At 35.7% G+C, this 19,895-nt stretch overlaps 1 protein-coding gene across 3 annotated transcripts in view, besides 1 other annotated feature; it reads right to left on the reverse strand.

Moving 5' to 3' along the window:
- Window positions 1-14,721, reverse strand: part of GYS2 (glycogen synthase 2) — a 72,271-nt gene extending 57,550 nt beyond the window's left edge. For all 3 annotated transcript variants that reach the window (XM_024448960.2, NM_021957.4, XM_017019245.3), the window contains exon 1: window positions 14,346-14,721. In XM_024448960.2, coding sequence (XP_024304728.1) covers window positions 14,346-14,466 — 121 coding nt within the window. In that variant the 5' untranslated portion in view covers window positions 14,467-14,721. The remainder of the gene's footprint in view (window positions 1-14,345) is intronic.
- Window positions 5,226-5,829: an enhancer, noted in NCBI's record as "OCT4-NANOG hESC enhancer chr12:21748286-21748889 (GRCh37/hg19 assembly coordinates)". NCBI's record gives its function as "activates a minimal SCP1, AML or CMV promoter by ChIP-STARR-seq in naive H9 embryonic stem cells {active_cell/tissue: H9 hESC(naive)}" and the evidence as "EXISTENCE:reporter gene assay evidence [ECO:0000049][PMID:30033119]".

Raw genomic sequence — 19,895 nt, forward strand, 5'->3', positions numbered from 1 at the left:
ATTTATAGCTGCTGCCACTGAAAGCAACACACCCCGCACCCCTTCAAGAGCAGGGCAACAATGCAGTAGCTGCTAATTCACTCAGGCATTCTGCTGGGGGCCTGAGGATCACTCCACTCCAGCCTATGATAGCCGGTGTCCACACACACCACTGAGTGGCCTGAGGTCAGGAACACCCAGCCTGGCTTTGCCTTCCTCAATGCCTAAGCAAGTTGTCTGGGAACCCAGAGACAGCCTTGTGCCATCCACCATGACTGGTACCTAAGCAACCCTCCCAGAAGCCTGATGATGGGCCTACCCAATCTGCCACTGCCATCACAACTGGCACCTCCTGCATGTGCCACCTGTGGGTCTGAAGACTGGCTCATTCAGCCCTTGCAGCCACCACCAACACCAGTGCAGACTGCTTGGGAGCCAGAGGGTTGTCCTGCAGTTGCTACAGCCATCACCCACACCACACCCACTGTCCAGAAGCCTGAGGACCCACACACCAGCCCAGTCTACTATGGCCACTACTGACACCCAAGCAAACTGCCTGAAGGCCAAAGAATCAACCCAACTAGACTCATTACCATCAGTGCCAATGTACACAGCCATGGGGCCCAAGGACAGGAATGCTAGGCCCACCACCACCACTGGGGCCAAGGACTGGCCCACTTGATATTCTTGTCTCCAGCACAACCTCATCACCACCTTCACTAACAAATGCACCCTAAGCCACTGAAAAAATCACAGACACTGATGATACTGTTGGCAGCTGAAAAAAAATAATATGAAGACTATGCTGCTGTATGCACCTAGAAATCAAAATCAAAGTGCCCTACTCAATCAACACCAAGATACATCTTCAGAAAAAAGTCTTCCCCTACAAAAACAAATTTACAAAACTGGAAGCAGCAATCATTACACCAGATGCAGAGATATCAATGCAAGAACAAAATAAACATAAAAAGGTGAAGAAATATGACACTTCCAAAGGAATTTAATAATTCTTCAGCAACATAAGCCAGTGGAAAAAAAAGACATTTATAAAATTCTGGAAAAAAGAATCCAAAATGTTGATATTAAGGAAGCTCAGTGAGACACAAGAGAACTCAGATAAACAATAAAAAGAAATCAGAAAAACAATTCAGGATATGAATGAGAAATTTACCCAAGAGATAGATACAACAAGAATGAACCAAACAGAAATTCTGTAACTGAAGAGTTTATTGAAAGAAATACAAAATACATTCAAAAACTTCAACAATAGATCAGATCAAGCAGAAGAAAAATTTCAGAACTTGAAGACAGGTCTTTTAAAATTAGCTGGTCAAATGATAGAAAGGAAAAAAAAAGAATGAACAAAGTGTATGTGACATATGAGGCACTATAAAGTGAACAAATATTCAAATTTGCAGTTTCCCAGAAGGTAAAGAGAACATGAAAGGTGTAGGAAACCTACGTAACAACACAATAGCTGAAAACTTGTCAAGTCTAGCAAGAAATGTAGACATCCAGACAAATGAAAATCAGAAATTCCCAAATAATATAATGCAAAAAGCTCTTCTCCACAGCACATTATAGTCAAACTGTCAAAAGCCAAAGAGTAAGAACTCTAAAACAGCAAGCAAAATGTCTAGTCACTTATAAGGGAACTTCCACAAGATTAACAGATTAACAGCAGATTTCTCAGCAGAAACCTCACAGGCCAGGAGAAGATGGGATGATATATTCAAAATAGTGAAAGAAAAAAATGACACCAAGGATGTTATACCCAGCAACATTGTTCTTCAAAAATGAAGGATAAATAAAATCTTTTCTGGGCAAGAAAAATTTGAAGGAATTCACTATCACTAGACTGGCTTTACAAGAAATATTTAAGGGAGTCCTACACATGAAAGTGACAGGACACTGCCATTATGAAGACACACAAAGGTATACAACTAACTGGTAGAGCAAAACACAAATAAAGAAGAGAAAGAACTCAAACGTTACCACTACAGAAAATCACCAAACCACAATCATAAATAATAAGAAAGAAAGAAAGAAAGAAAGAGAGAGAGAGAGAGAATGAAAGAAAGAAAAGGAAGGAAGGAAGAAAAAAACACAAAACAAACAAACTAAAAAAAAAACAAAACAACCAGGAATCAATTAACAAAATGGCAGGAATAAGCTCTCACATGTCAATAATAGCCTTGCATGTAAATGGATTAAATTGTTACTTGAAAGATATAGACTGGCTAAATAGATTTAAAACAAAAATATGACCCAGTTGTAAGCTGCCTATAAGAAACTTATCTCACTTGTAAAGATAAATATAGACTGAAAGTAAAAAGATGAAAGATCTTCCATACAAAGAGAAACCAAAAATGAGCAAAAGTAGTTATACCTATAACAGATAAAATTGACTTTAAATAAAAAACACTAAGAGACAAAAGTCATTACATAATGATAAAAGGAACAATTCAGCAAGAGTATATAACAATTCTAAACATTCACACTCAACACCAGAGCATCCAGATATGTAAAGCAAATGTTATTAGATATAAAGGGTGAAATAGAATCCAATACAATAATAGTTGGGGATTTCAACATTCTAATCTCAGCATCAGATAGATCATCTAGACAGAAAATTAACAAAGAAACATTGGATTTAAACTTGACTTTAGACCAAATGGATCTAACATTTACACAATATTTCATCCAACAGCTACAGAATATATTTATCTCATCAGCACATGACGCATTCCCCAGGATACACCATATGTTAGAACACAAAAGAAGTCTCAACTAATTTGAAATATTTGAAATCATATTAAGCATCTTCTCAGACCACAATGGAATAAAACTAGAAATCAATAACAAGAAAAACTTTAAAACCTATACAAATACATGGAAATTAAACAACATGCTCCTGAATGAACGTTATGTCAAGAAGAAAATTAAGAAGGAAATCAAAAATTTTTTGAAACAAATGAAAATTGAAATACAACATAGGAAAAGCCATGGGATACAGCAAAAGCAGTGCTAAGAGAGAAGCTTATCAATAAACACTTAAATTAAAAACATAGAAAGATTTCAAATATATAATCTAATCATGTACCTCAACAAGCTAGAAAAGCAAGAACAAAACCCAAAACTAGCAGAAGGAAAGAAAAAATGAAGAACAGAAGAACTTAATGAAATAGAGAAAAACAACAACAAGGGATTAGCAAAATGAAAAGTTGTTATTTAAAAAAGATAAAATGGATATAGCTCTAGCTAGACTAACCAAGAAAAAGAGAAGAGACTGAAATAAAGAAAATCAGAAATAAAAAAGAAAATATATTACAACCGATACCACAGAAATAGAAAAGATTATCAGAGACTATTATGAACAACCATACACTAAAAAACTGAAAAATCTAGAGGAAATTAATAAATTTCTGGACACATACCACCTACCAAGATTGAATTAAGAAAGAATAGAAAACCTGAACAGACCAGTAATGAATAATGAAATTGAATCAGTAGTAAAAAGTCTCCCAAAAAAGAAAATTTCAAGACCAGATGGCTTTACTGTCAAATTTTACCAAACTTTCAAAGAAAACTAACAAGTCTCCTTAAATTCTTTTAAAAATTAAACAGGAAGGAATTCTCCCTAACTCATTCTCTGAGGCCAGTATTATCCTGATTCCATAACCAGACAAGGATGCAAGTAAAAATAAAACTGCAGGTCAATATCCCTGATGGAACATAGGTGTGAAAATCCTCAACAAAATACTAGCAAACTGAATCCAACAGTACATCCAAAAGATAATACACCATGATCAAGTGGGATTTATACTAGGGTTGCAAGAACAGTTCAAATCAATAAATGTGATACATCACATCAACAAAAAGAACAAAAACCATATGATCATCTCAATAGATACAGAAAAAGTATTTGATAAAATTTAACATTCCTTCATGATAAAAACTATCTGCAGCCAATCATAGAAGGAACATATCTCAATATAATAAAAGTCATATATGACAAACCCACAGCTAACATCATACTGAATTGGGAAAAGCTGGAAGCCTTTCCTCTAAGAACTGAAACAAAATAAGGATGCCCACTTCCATCACTCCTATTCAATATAATACTGGAAGTCCTAGCCACAGCTTTCAGGTCAGAGAAAGAAAGAAAGAAAAGGCATGCAAATAGGAAAAGATGAAGTCAAACTGTCCATCTTTCCAGATGACATGATTTTATACCTAGAAAAACCAAGACTCCACCAAAGCACTCTTAGCGCTGAAAAATAAATTCAGTAAAGTTACAGGAGACAAAATCAGCATATGAAACAAGCAATGTTTCTACACACCAATAATAAACTAGCTGAGAAGGAAATTAAGAAGGCAATCCCATTTACAATAGCTAAAAAATAAAATATTTAGGGATAAATTTAACCAAGGAACCGAAAAACCTCTATTCGGAAAACTACAAAACACTGATAAAAGAATTGAAAAGGACAGAAACAAATGGAGAGATATCCTATGTTCATGGATCAGAAAAATTAATATTGTTAAAATGGCCATACTACCCAAAGCAATCTACAGATTCTATATGACCGCTATCAAAATAGCAATGTCATTTTTCACAGAAATGGAAAAACCAATCTAAAATTTGTATGAAATTAAAAAATAGCTCCAGTAGCCAAAGTCATCCTGTGAAAAAAGAACAATGCTAGAGGTATCATACTACCTGATTTCAAAGTATATTACAAAAGTATAGGAACCTAAACAGCATGATACTGACATTAGAACAGACACTTAGACCAATGGAAGAGAATAGAGAACCTAGAAATGCATCCACATATTTATAGCCAACAGATTTTCAACAAAGGTGACAAGAATATACATTGAGGAAAGGACACAGTGTTCAAGAAATGGTGCTGAAAAAATTGGATATCCATTGGATATCCATGTGCAAAAGAATAAAACTGGACTGCTGATATGGTTTGGATGTTTGTTCCCTCCAAATCTCATGTTGAAATATAATCCCCAACTTCTCAGGATCTTGGCGGATGGGAGGTAGGCCTAGATTGCAGCTCCAACTCAGATGGACAGAGCAGCATGTGGAGGCTCGCATTGTGAATTTTAGCTGCAGATAGACTGCAAGAACAAACCAGCAATCCTGAGAGGACCCACAGACCCTCTGAAGGAAGTAGATTGCTCCTGCAGGACCCAGGAGACACCCCAAATACTGTGAGTGCCCCAACTGCGGAAGTGGGAAAGGGAGATCCTCCTCTCCTAAACACACACTCCCACTGGAGAAACTGAAGGTCTGTTTGTGGGAGAAGTTTCTGACCTTACCTGGAGTTGAGTTAACTTAGAGAGCTGAGCAAAATACAGGTGTAGAGGAAGCAGTGAGAAAGGCCCTGGGAGCTCACTGGGTCCCTGAGCAGGCCATTCCTGCCTGGCATAGCCAGGCATTTACATTACTAACATTGAATGTAAATGGCCTAAATGCTCCACTTAAAAGGGTGAAAAAGGTATTTCATGCAAATGGCCACCAAAAGTGAGTAGGCAAAACAAACTTTAAAGCAACAGCAGTTAAAAGAGACAAAGAGGGACATTATATAATGGTAAAAGGCCTTGTCCAACAGGAAAATATCACAATCTTAAACATATATGCACCTAACACTGGAGCTCCCAAATTTATAGAACAATTACTAATAGACCTAAGAAATGAGATAGACAGCAACACAATAATAGTGGGGGACTTCAATACTTCATTGACAGCACTAGACAGTTCATCAAGACAGAAAGTCAACAAAAAAATAATGGATTTAAATTATACCTTAGAACAAATGGACTTAACAGTTATATACAGAACATTTCATCCAATAACCACAGAACACACATTCTATTCAACAGCGCGTGGAAATTTCTCCAAGGTAGACCATATGATAGGCCATGAAATGAGCCTCAATAAATTTACTAACAGACCAATAACAAGCAGTGAGATTTAATTGGTAATTAAAAAATTACCAACCAAAAAAAAGTTCAGGACCAGATGGATTCACAACAGAATTCTACTAGACATTCAAAGAGGAATTGGTCCCCATCTTTTTGACACTATTCTACAAGACAGATAAAGAAGGAACCTGCCCTAATTCATTCTATGAAGCCAGCATCACACCAAAACCAGGGAAGGACATAACCAAAAAAGAAAACTACAGACTGATAGCCTTGATGAACATAGATGCTAAAATCCTTAACAAAATACTAGATAACCAAATTCAACAACATAACAAAAAGATAATCCACCATGATCAAGCAGGTTCCATGCCAGGGATGCAGGGTTGGTTTGACATCTGCAAGTCAATAAGTGTGATACACCACATAAACAGATTTAAAAACAAAAATTACATGATCATCTCAATAGATGCAGAAAAAGCATTCAACAAAATCCAGCATACATTTATGATTAAAATGCTCAGCAAAATCAGCATACAAGAGACATACCTCAGTGTAATAAAAGCCATCTGTGACAAACCCACAGCCAACATAATATTGAATGGGGAAAAGTTGAAAGCATTCCCTCTGAGAACTGGAACAAGACAAGGATGCCCACTCTCACCACTCCTCTTCAACATAGTACTGGAAGTCCTAGCCAGGGCAATCAGACAAAACAAAGAAATAAAGGGCATTCAAATCAGTAAAGAGGAAGTCAAACTGTCACTGTTTGCTGATGATATGATCATTTACCTTTAAAACCCTAAAGACTCCTCCAGAAAGCTCCTAGAACTGATAAAATAATTCAGCAAAGTTTCCAGATACAAGATGAATGCACACAAATCAGTAACTCTTCTATACACCAACAGCAACCAAATGGAGAATCAAATCAAGAACTCAACCCCTTGTACAATAGATGCAAAAATGGCCTAATACAACCCCTATTTATTGCCATATAAAACGTACTCTCAAGATGGATTAAAGACTTAAATATAAAACTTAAAACTATAAAACTACTAAAAGAAAACATAAGGGAGACACTTCAAGACATGGCTTTGGGCAAAGATTTTATGGCCAAGACCTCAAAAGCACAGGCAACAAAAGCAAAAATAGACAAATGGGACTATATTAAGCTAAAATACATCTGCACAGTAAAGGAAACAATCAACACAGTGAAGAGACAAGCTGTTGAATGCGAGAAAATATTTGCATACATTTGACAAGGAATTAATCTCCAGAATATATAAGAAACTCAAACAACTCAACAGTGGAAAAACAAATAATCTCATTAAAAAATTGGCAAAGGATATTTTTCAAAAGAAGACATACAAATGCACAATGGGTATGGGGAAATTGCTCAACATTACTAATCATCAGAGAAATGCAAATCAAAACCACAATGAGATATCATCTTATGCCAGTTAGAATCATCATGATTTAAATAAATTAATAAATAAATAACACATGCTGGCAAGGATGTGAAGGAAAAGGCACTCGTAGGCACTATTGGTAAGCATGCAAATTAGTATAGCCACTATGGAAAACAATATGTAGATTTACCAAAAAGCTAAAAATTGAACTATCATAAGATCCAGCAATCTTATTACTGGGTATTTATCCAAAGGAAAAGAATTCAGAATAATAAACAGATACTGGTACCACACTGTTTATTGCAGCACGATTCACATTAGCAAAGATATGGAATCAACCTAAGTGTCCATCAATGGATGAATGAAGAAAATGTGGTGTATACACACAATTGAATATTATTCAACCATACAAATATAAAATCATTTCATTTGCAGCAACATGGATGAAACTGGAAGTCATTATGTTAAACGAAATAAGCCAGGCATAGAAAGACAAATTTTGCATGTTCTCACTGATATGTGGGAGCTAAAAAAGTTAATATCATGTAGGTAGAGAGTAGAATGACAGAAACCAGAGGTAGAGAAAGGTGTGTACGTTATGGGAGGAAGGGAGACGAAGAGAAGTTGGTTAATGGAAACAGGCAGTTAGATAGAAGGAATATGTTCTGATGTTCAATAGCAAAGTAGGGTGATTATAGTTAAAAACAATATATTGTATATTTCAAAATAGTAGAAGAAAGGTCTTGAAATGTTCCTAACACATAGAAACGATAAATACTTGAGGTGATGAATACCCCAAATACCTGACTTGATCATTATACATTATATGCATGTAACAAAATGTCACATGTACCTGATACATATAAACACGTCATATATCAATAAAAGAAAGTCGATCTCATATTGGTTGAGGCCTGATTGTAAGTAAATCTTTGTCCCTCCAGACATTTCCCTGTACTGTCTTGCTGTGAGGAGCTTCTTTTACTGCTATTTCTTATATTCCAACACCATTTTAGCCCTTTTTTGTCCTCCCCATATTTTTACCTCGGTTTTTACTGTTTATATAGCACACTTTGTGCTATAGTTTACCTCAGTTTTTACTATTTATAAAGCACATTTTGCCCCAAACTTCTCTCTTAACAAGCTAGAATATAAGTGAATGCAAGAGCATAGAGACAGGGTCATTCCTATTTTCATATTTGAGGTATAAACCAAGGAGATTTACATACACATATATATTTTTAAATCTGCAAATAAATGGTTTTATTCTGACATTAAAAAAGAAAATACTTAATATCATTAATGAATGATCGTTTTACCACAGCGTAGGTCATTGAATTTGAACTTAACCTTCACTTTCAAACAAGTACTTTGTATTTTATTGATCTCTATTTTCCTGGAACAACATGGGGGCTATGTTTAGCGTGAGGACAAAGTATCACAACTTTCACCTGAAAGAAAAGATGAGCTACCATGGTACATATAACAATGAGGTGGTTAAAACTCTAAGTCGTCATCTGGCAACACTGCCAATTTACTAAAAATCACTATTTCAAAGAAGTATAGAATAGATATCAGCCAAAATAAGGATCTCTTTCTCTGCCTCTCTCTCGCTCTCTCTCTCTCTCTCCCCCATCTCTCTCTGTCTCTCTCTCTATATATATGTATACACACATATATACATATTATACACATATGGAGAAATTTCACTATTTTGTATATGCTTAAAAATTACAGACTTTGGAAGTCATATGACTATTTCAGTGTGTGTGGCTACTAATCTCACCCTCCTGTTCCAAAACACAGTTGCAGAAGCAGAGGAAGTCATTATACACTTAGAACATCATTTTATAAGGCAGCAGGTCTGGTAGGAAGGAGATTAGGTGCTACTTGTGACAAAGGTCAGCAAATATTTGTGTTCCCAGCACTTTTCTAGATCCTCAGTTAAAATCAAAGCAGCTGCAGTCTTGGCAGTGGGAGGTGATACTCACACTTTGAACAAGACCACCTGCACTACCTACAATGGCAGCTCCAAATATTTTATATGAAAGGGGCCTAGACATAGCATGCTGAATGAAAAGGAAGTGAGTAGACTAGTGCTTTCCTTGAAGCTGTGCAACCAAGCATAGTTTTTACATAGATCGTGTGTTTCACATGGTGTGATAACAGCTTGAGATGCCATTGACATGGCCCACCGGCTTATCCACATCAGTAATTAGGGCAAAGAAATCCTAATTACTATGCATCCCGTGATTGAAGTAACATTGATGTATACATATTTTTTCCTATTATTTCTCTTTTTGTGTTTAAAAATGCAATTATGGACTCATTCAAAGTGAAAGCTGGTATGACAATACATGAGCTAACTTCCTCATTTTATGAATAAATTTTATAAAGAAATAAGCTAATACCTACAGAGTGTTTATTAAATGCTAGGCACAGTTCTGAGTGATTTACAACTGGTATTTCTTTTAATTTTCACAACATTATTACAGGTAGATTTTATATATGGAGAAACTGAGGCACAGAGATGCTATGTAATAAATCTCAACATTACCCAGGTGATGGTGGAGTTGGAATTCCAAATCATGCAGTCTGACTTTAGCTGTAGACAGCAAGATAGTAAGTAAAGGAATGGAGCAACAAATTGATGGATCTTTTTGCTTTTGCTTGTTTGTTTGAAACAGGGTCTCACTCTGTCACCCCGGCTGGAGTGCAATGGTGCAATCTTGCTCACTGAAGCCTCACTAGAACGCCTGGATTCAATTGATCCTCCTGCTTTAGCCTCTCAGGTAGCTAGGACTACAGGTGTGAGCCTCCATGGCCAGCTAGAGAAATTTTTTAAATTTCTGTAGAAACAGGGTCTCCCTATGTTCCCCAGGCTGGTATCCAACTCTTGGTCTCAAACAATTCTCCCACCTCAGCCTTGAAAAGTGTTGAGATTACAGGTGTGAATCACCATGCTGGGCCTTGATGGATCTTTAAAAGTGGTGGGGGGTAGGAGAAAAAGAGGAAGAACAAAAACAGTATCACGAAAGATAAACATCGTTAGGTCTCGGGAAGGATGGGATCCTTTTCATTTTGCTCTAGAGAAAAGCCATTTGGAAAACTTCTGTGTTAACAAAAAACAGCCGAGTAGCCTAGTATTAAACTTTAGAGCAGTTGTTCTTTACGGCAATTACAGGGGCCTTCAGGAAGCTGATGGAAGTGTGAAGTCCTCTTCTCAGAGAAAAGTACTTCTATATACGTGCACCTAATTTTTAGATATAATTTCTGAAGGTTTAGAAACTCCTTGAGTTCACTTATATCAAAGTCCTCACCTTTAGAACTCCTGTCCTAGAAGAGTGGACTCATTATTATAATTTCTTCCATAACCACTTTGACTCTAGTTTTCTGAATTCTTCCCTGTGCCACTTGTACCATGTAATTCAGAGGTGTAGTGTCAAGACTGAGGAGGAAGCAGGTAAATTATGTCCAGCAATACGTTGGCTTAGGCAAAAACAAATTGTTTCTAGTCCATTTTAAGAGGGAAGCATTTATTTAGGGACTACATCGCTCAAGTCTTTACAATTCTTAAATTAACTTTCATTATGTGTGACAACATTTATTAAACTTTTTTAATGATCCTAAATATCCTTAACATGTTAATTTCTCCAGAGTTTGTAATGTTCTGAGCAAGTGTGTGCAGAAGAAATGATTGTAGTAAGACCTGGGCAAAGGAGAGAGTAAACATTTTTCCCCCACATTTGGGCAAAACTTTCCATCCTGGGTCACACCACAGTCTAATTTCCCTCCTCTCCTCTCCCTCAACTGGTAACAGTGCTTCTTCCAAAACATACCTGACTACTTAGTACTTCCCACTACTGTGGATAGAATTTCAGTGACTCCTCATTCATTGTTCATACCCTGGAGACAAAACTCCTTAAGGCTATTAACTCCCCCTGAGCTTCACAATCTAGTCCCTGCAGGTCTCTCCCATCTTCTCTCATACTCCTCTCCTTTTCCCTCTCTGAGCCCCGCTCAGATCTTCGAACAGAGAACACTTCTGCATCTTGGCATATATAGTTCTCTCACATAGAACGCTTTCTCCCCTTTAGCTATTTATCCTTCAAGTGTCAGCTCAAACATCTCATCATTAGAGAGGTTTTTCCCAAACCTCTAGGTAACTAGGTTAGAAACCACTCCCCATTCCACGGTACACTGTATAGTCTTAGGACACCTGGTTCCCTTAGTCTCACACTCATCACATTTGACTGTATTGTATGTTCAATGTCTACCTTCTACAAATTTGTCAATTCTTGAAGATTAAGAATCAGTTCTGTATTCTTAACTCTATCTCCCTCGCCTCTCAGTGCCTGATACCTAATAGACACTTGATGAATCCTTACTGAATAATAAAATGGATTAATGAATAAAAGCAATAAATTTCAAGGTTAATATTAATAAATTAAAAAGGTTATTTTGAAGTCTGAGAATTAGTACCCAAAACTAACTGTGACTCTCTCATCTGTTATGTTTTTCACGTTTCCATTGTTCATGGGCAAAATTCTGGCAGCAAGGGATTCTTCTCCTAAGAAACCTTTTGTTTTCTTGGATGTGAATACATTTCCTTGTTTGCCAGAAAACATGGTAAGATAACTGGAGAGTATAACATTCATTTTATTCATGAAGAAACTGTTATTCAGTTTAAGGGGTTCTTTTTCAGAAAGTTTCAGAAATCCAAGACCTTTGACTGCAAGTACTGTGTTCTTTCATCTATAGGACATTTCCTTTGAAAACTGAGGTTTTAATATTTAATTCTTACATAATAGTAAAAAAGTGAATTGGCCTTGGAAAAGACCTAAATCCTGGTCCTAACTCTGCCATTTGCTTGATCATTAAATACCTCTACGAATCAATTTGCTCTATGAACTGGAGGAGTGGGATTCATGATCTCTAAGATACCTCATATCACTACTATGAAATGCAGGGAAGTAAAAATTCAAATCATTAAATTTAAAGAAACTATAGTGGCAATGTATTATTAGGAATAAACACAATAATTATCCATCTATATGAAAATCTCAAACCATACCAGGCTATGATAATATTAAAATAAAGATACATTGAAGATGATATCAACTTGTGTAAATCACATTGTGGGGACCTCTCCACAAAAACACTTCCCTTCCCCTTGAAAGGGAAATGATAGAAAATAAGTATTAAAGGCAGCTTAGGGGTTGAAAAACAAATTTTTTCAAAAAAAAATCCATTGAGCATTTTCTATGTACCAGGCACTGTTCTAGACCCTGAGATCAACACACATGCTACTGATTATAAGATCCATAAAATAACTTAGTTTCACTGGCGTGTTCCCAGTGCCCAGGTAACAGTGCTCCATTAATGTTTGTTAAATGATGAGAAAAGAGGAAAGCAGAAGGGGCTCTGCTCAGGTGCAGGAACTTGTGCAGAGATCTTCTGGACTGATTCCCAGTGCTAACAAGTCCCTTCCAGTTTTATCCACCAATAAGCTATGTCCTTGAGCTCCTGCCCACTCTCTAGAGAAAACTTTTATTTCAAGGCATACTCCGGGATTCACATGTGATAGAGATGGTTCTGTTCCCAGGAACTTTGGGCATATTTAAAAACTGGACTGGAAAAATTTGTGACTAGAAAAAGGACATTAAAAACACATGCTCATTTCAGGATAAAGATCTCTGAGGAAAAGAATACAAAATAATTTAAAAAGAAACAACAGAAACAGGTACACATAAAATACTTCACTTCTCTGTAATAAGGTTTCTGTCCTCCTAGATTCTTTCTCACTAAACTACAGAGAATAAGACCGTGCTTTGTTCTCTTATATGCATTCTGTCCACTTCTACATAGGCAAAATTGACTTTTAATTTTGATTTTATGAATGCATACACACGAGAACTTTGAACAGTTAGTATAAGGTGAATTCTGATTTTTCAGAATGCATGCCATATATAATGCATTTAATTTTGAGATTATGCTGGCTCTGATTAGCCAAAAGAAGGAAGTAATATATCACATTCTGGTTATTATTTCAGATCCTTTAGATTACTGTAATAGACATGAAATAGTAAACACAAAATGAAAAATAAATGTGTTATATATCACAACACATGACATAATTTCAGATCGTTTAAATCACACAAGTCATCACTGCCATTTACCCAGCAATCAGTTGGCTTGATTCTTCAAGATCTTGAGGAACTCAGCCTTCAAAACCATGACTTTTTCTTTGCTAATGTTCCTTCAATAGTCTTGACACTTTTAAACTAGAGAGTATAAACCCACAAGGAATTGTTTTATAATTTTACAGATGTCTTTATTTTCAAAATCATTTACATTGTGGTTCTCTACCTTGCCTTCTCTTACCCAGCACAGATGAGGTTATACCTCACTCGCAAATTGTTTTATCAATTTGATTTTCTTTATTTTATAATTCCTACATAAGCATAGCATTGAAGAAAAAAATTACTTTCATTCTGAAAGGAGCACAGTATTTTGCCTTTTGAGAAGCTCCTGAATTAAAACATTAATTCCAAGCTAATTGTGAATATGAAACATTCTTAAGCATTTCATATAATTACTAACAGAATGTAGAGTTGAGGTTTCCAACTGGTTCTAATCACATATACATCTTCCTAAAATAAAATGTTTAATTATACTATTTTGCTGAGAAAAATTTTAAAACAAAAAATGTAAATATTAACTTTTTATTTCTATGTTGTCATAATATGGATTTTAAATTTTAATTTAAATGCACATTCCATGGCAATGGCTAATATTTTCAACTTTCTCCCTCTTCAACACATACACAAGTCTGTATTCATAGCCTGTTGTAATAGACAAGGTTAAATGTAGCCTAAATATATATTCCGTTTAAATGCTTTCCTCACTCACTAGCAATTGGTTATCACTAGAGAGTTATCTGTGAAATCTTACTCTACATTCCTCAGTCACCTAGTGAAGGTGTACTGATCCACCTTCAGGAGCAGTACAAACCTTTATTGGTCACTTCCCAAGCAACTTCAAAGAGCAGTAACTCCTCCACAGGAAGTTCTTCGACTTCCCACTGGGGAAGCCCACCCAGGGATGTTACAGAGAGGGATCGGCCTCGAAGCATTCTTCTTACAGTCCTCCGAGACTCCTTTGAATTCCTGTTTCAATTAGTTGTAATCCCAGGAGAAGAGAACTTACAGGCACAAAAGTTAGAGTTGGTAGAGTTACCAGGCTTTGGTAGCTTCTCTTGGGAATAAACTAGTAGCATGAAATCTTATGTGCTTCCCACAGAATTCCTGGTGGAAGGAGGAATTCTTCCTCCTCTTTCTCGTCTTTCTGGGCAGGTATTGTGAGGACGGTATCTGCCCTGTCAGTATCTACCCAAACAATCCAGAGCTGTCAACAGAAAAACCCTCTGATTCAGGACATAGGTAAGCACTTCCTGGGATAGGCAGGGCATGACCCAAGTTCAGCCTTTTAGCCCTTGTCCTTTTGACCAGACTCCTAGATTCATACAGTTACCAATGCTTATTTCATCATTTCCAAAGTGATACAATATTGGCAACTCCCCTCATTAAGTTTGCAGGCCTCCTTAGATTACATGTAGACTGATTGGGACATATTTTTATGCTTTAAATCCCTTTGGATTTCCTAAATATTCTTCTTTCTTTTGATTCCTATTTCTAGAGCTTTTAAAAAATATTCCTAGTTATTTTATTCTACACTTACAAATTGAATTTTGGTGATAGCCAGAGATCTTGAGCCCCCTTTTCTCAATTACTTTTCTTAAAACTTTCCCTATAAAAAAGCATAAATTTGAGTATGTCTTTGGGTGTAACATGAAAAAAAACATAATTTTGACTGGTCAATAATCATCAGTCAATAATTTTAATGAGGTAGTAAAAATAAATCTTTGTCATGTTTGTACATTTCCTTCAAATATTATCAAATTGATAAAGAATAATTCAGTCAATGTAAATGTTCAAACATGGGAAGAAAAATCATCAGGATCAGACTGCAGATAAATGGCATATGTTTGCTTTTCCCTTGTGTTTCTATGTTTGTAAATATATATGTTCCAATTTATTTACACACCCATACACATATATCCTATATTGTACCTACAGAGAGTTGGTGCATTCACAAGCAAGCTTAATTTTGAGCCATCTTTACAGATGTAGCTAAAATCAATATTTTTACATTATTATTCTCTAAAGCAGCAGAACTGAAGCTCATACAAAATATCCTTTAAGTTAGAATTACAATCAGAATTGTAATTTGTTACTTGATAATACTATTTTAGCACCTTTTATTAGGTTTTAAATTATTTTCTATATACTTGGTCTTATAGACTTACACTTATTTTAATGACTCAAGATGGGCAGAACCACATTTCATTATATTACATTAATAAATCTATGTAAGCCAAATAGATTAAATATGTCAGCTTGATGTGGTAGTACACACCTGTTGTTCCAGCTACTCAGGAGGCTGAGGGGGATGAATCACTTGAGCCCAGGAGTTTAAGGCCAACCTGAACAACCACTCTCTTAAAAAATAAAATAAAATAAAAAATTAATTAAAACAAAAATAAATAAATGTCATCTATGATTTTGTGACACAGTTGATTCTTATCTTTGTCCAGAAAAGTACATTTAAGTACATAGTTTGTTATCCATTTGTTTGCGTTGTGAGAAAAAGATTATATGGCTAATAAAAAAAATCAAGTACTAAAATAGAAAACATATGATCCCAAATGATCAAAATGATTGTCTCCTTTATAAAATGGTTTGCTTATGTTCACATAACCTCTGAGAGTCCTGCAAGTGCACATTCCAGTAAAACCAAATCTAAGGACATGTTGACAGGAGTGAGAATGGGATGACAGTGATAGAGTTTCACGTTTGCAGTTTTCTGTTCCAGGAGCCTTGAGATTGGTTCATCCAGTGTCACACAGGCTACAGGAGCACAATGATCCATATTCTCCAGCTTACATGATAAGGCTGAATTATTTATTTGCAATCTGTTCCAGGTATCAACTGCTTAGTTGTGAGTTAGGCACTTGTGGCATCACTTATCTGCTGTGTAAACTTGAGCCAATTTCTTACCTAAGTTTTTGTTTTCTTGATAAAATGGGGATGAGATAATCTATATAAGTCACTTAACATTGTGCCTGGTACTATGCCAACCACTTTAGTAATCTTAGCCTTTTTTATAACACATATGATGGTTTAGTAAAAGCTTTCCCTAATGGCAGAGGTTACCATTGAAAAGGAAAGGGGTAAAAAGAAGGCTTTACTTTTCTTTCATTTTTTTGAAGTTGTACCACCTGTATATATTACCTGATCAAATGCCTAGAGAAAACATTTTTTTCAGAAAAATGACCTTAAGATCAATGAGTATATTTTATAACATCCTAAATGAAAATAAGTAGGATGTAAAATAAAATAAGTAGTATGATTGATTTAATTTTGTGAAAATGTACTCTATACCTCTGTTCATGAAGTATATGTAATAGAAGGCTGGAATAGACATAAACAAAAGACGGGAGGCTACATGTAAAAACTCTTACAATAGTTGTCTTAAACTGGTTGTAATTATGATTGATATTTGTGTGGTATTTTTATTTGTGTTCTACACATTTTCTGCAATAAACGTATACATATATATATATATATATATATATATATATATATATACCGTATATAGGATGAGTAACACAGTTTTCAAAAGTTTAATCATATAAATGAATTAAATACACATGATTGTTTCACACACTCACACTCATTATTCTGATTTTTCGAAATTTCTAGTCTTTAGTTCCCATTTGGCGTTTTTGTGTCAAGTACCAGCACTCTCAGCCACACGTCATCTCCTAATGATCCCTCATAGTAGACTTATTCTCTTGATCCTGTTATTCTCAACATGAGAACATCCTTTGCCAATGCTTTGCTTGTTTATGGTAAATATCATTTTCAAAGTTGTTCATTGGGTTAAGAGAGGTAAAATAAATGGAACCATATGAAGTATATCCATGAGATGGATATATCTTCATCTATCCATAGTATCTGGATGAATTCCCTTTGTTCAGGTATTTGTGCAGAGAAAGGCAGTCATTTGTGCAAAAAGATTTGAAGAGGAATCAGGGAAATTTCTCTTCCTCCCATATCCCTGAACATTCTCCTATAATGTTTGTGCTAAAAGCACAAATTGATGAGATGAGAGCAGAAAGAGAACAGTCATCCAGACAGAAAGGGAGATGGGTTTTCTCCAAGTTGGGAGAAGCACTCACAAAAGTCCCTGATACCAAATTTTATACTTATGCTAACATTTTATCACCCAATGAAAAGAAGTGAGAGGGCAAGTAGGAACAAATGAAGACTTGTATTTGGTTCCCTTGGTAAGTATTCCAGCAGAGGTCACTAAATACATTTAGAAAACCACACATTTGCTTTGACTTTTTGGAATCTTCTTAGAAGTCTTCCAAAAAGCCTTTAGACTTCCAAGGCTTGACTTGCCTGCAGCTGCATATCCAGAATAACTTAGTTAACATATTTATGGATCACCTACTATGTGCTACTATTCTCATCACTGAGAATATTTTCGATAAACGGTAGATAAGTCTTTGCCTCCATGTGGACACATAGACATTAATCTTGTAAACAAATTATGTTATTTCAGGTTCTGCTAAATTTCTGGAGAAGAAAAACTGCAAACAATAGTGAGTGCTATTGGATAGAAATGAGTGCTTTAGGTGGGGAGGTCAAGAAAGACCCTTGTGAGGAAGTGATATTTGAATTAGGATATAAATGATGAGAAAGTGGCCACATTTGAAGATCTGAGAGAAGTGATTGCAAAGCCTTTAACTCTTACAGAAACAGAAAGAAGACCAATGTGGCTGAAGCCAAAAGCATAATGAATGAGGGGAAGCCTGGAGGGGATGAGGTCAGAGGAAAGTAGGAAATGGATCATAGAGAAGCTGGTCAAGAGCTTGGATTTTATTTTGGTTGTAGTAGGAAGTCATTGGGAGGTTTTAAGCAGGGAACTTTTTGCTACAAAAAATGGAATGTTGAGAAGTATAAGGCAGGAGGCTTGGAGACTGAGGTTATGAAGCCTGCATATCACTCGTATATTCTAGAATGTAAAACTTTATTCATTTGGTAGATAATCCCTGCGTTCTTCTGAATGTCATAAAAGCAGAAATGAAAGTTAGTTATTTAGCATTTAGTCTTTGCCTTTTAAGGTTAGAGAGAGTACCTTTGTTTTCCCACATAGTGTCTCTATATAATTTTATGTTGTTATCTGTACATTGCTTGTATGTACTTTATTATGTGTGTAGTGATGTTGTTACTACAGAAACTGGAGAATTAAAAGCCATATGTCAGGTACTATGATCATGATTCTTGCTCTCATGAAGTTTACACTCTAGCACAGAAAGTATGTATTAAACAAGTAACTAAAGGACTTTGAGGGTGGTGAATGGAATACAGAATCTGTGAGAGCATGTAACAATAGAATTAACTCGATATGGAGTACTAAGAATGATGTCCCTGAGAAAATAATATTTAAATTGAGATCGAAAATGGGAAAAGCTAAGGAAGAGGTGTTTCTAGCAGACGAGCTAGTGCATGCAAAGACCAATAGAAATAAAGAATGTGGTAAATTCAAAAAACTGAAAGATCAATATATTTAGATTCAGCAAACTTGAGGTAGAAAGTGATATAGGAATGAACCTGGAGAAGTGGGAAGGGGCTAAGAATTTTGAATTTATCTTAATAATAAGGAAAAGCATGATAGGATTTGCATTATTTTATTTATTTATAGTTTTAACTTTTAAATGGAAGTGGAACACATAAATAGCATAGTGTAGAAATTATAGCCCAGTGAGTTAATACGAAGCAAACACTTTTGTGTAACTATTCAATAAAAAATTGGAACAAACAATACCAGAGTGAATTTTTTTCAGAGAACTGATTCCATGGTATGACATATTTCAAATAGTGGATCATTCTACAGATTTGCATTTTCCAAAGATCATTCTCACTGCATAACTGAGAATGAGTTAAAGGAGGGATGAAACTTAAGGTGATGTGTTTGTAGCATTATGGAGATGTATTATGTGAACATTTAACTCCTGAATATTTAATTATATCAGCTAGACAAACAGAAGATAGAAAAAAACAAGAAATAACACTTTACATAGCCTGGAATAATTTACTCAGTGAAGAGACAGGATGACCCAGACTGAGGAGCCGCTGGGAGACTGTGTTTTTTACAGTCAGTCTTTTCAGAATCTGAGTGTCTCACTGGCTGAATGTGGTGAAGGGTTGGCACACACATTTTGACCAGAATCCCTACCTTATATGCTGGCTTTAGAACCCAGCATCAGTTAAAATGACTCCAGTGTGTCTAGACTAGAGAAGGTGGCTGGTTGCACTAGAGTGATGGCAGTGAGATTAGAGAAGTGAGTAGTGAGGTATGTTTGAGGTAACAGTTTGTGGAGTTGATTGGTTGTGGGGAAGGGTCAATGCCTAGGTTTCTAGTTTGGACAAC

This window comes from Homo sapiens, chromosome 12 (assembly GCF_000001405.40).
Source record: "Homo sapiens chromosome 12, GRCh38.p14 Primary Assembly".
Lineage (NCBI taxonomy): Eukaryota > Metazoa > Chordata > Mammalia > Primates > Hominidae > Homo > Homo sapiens.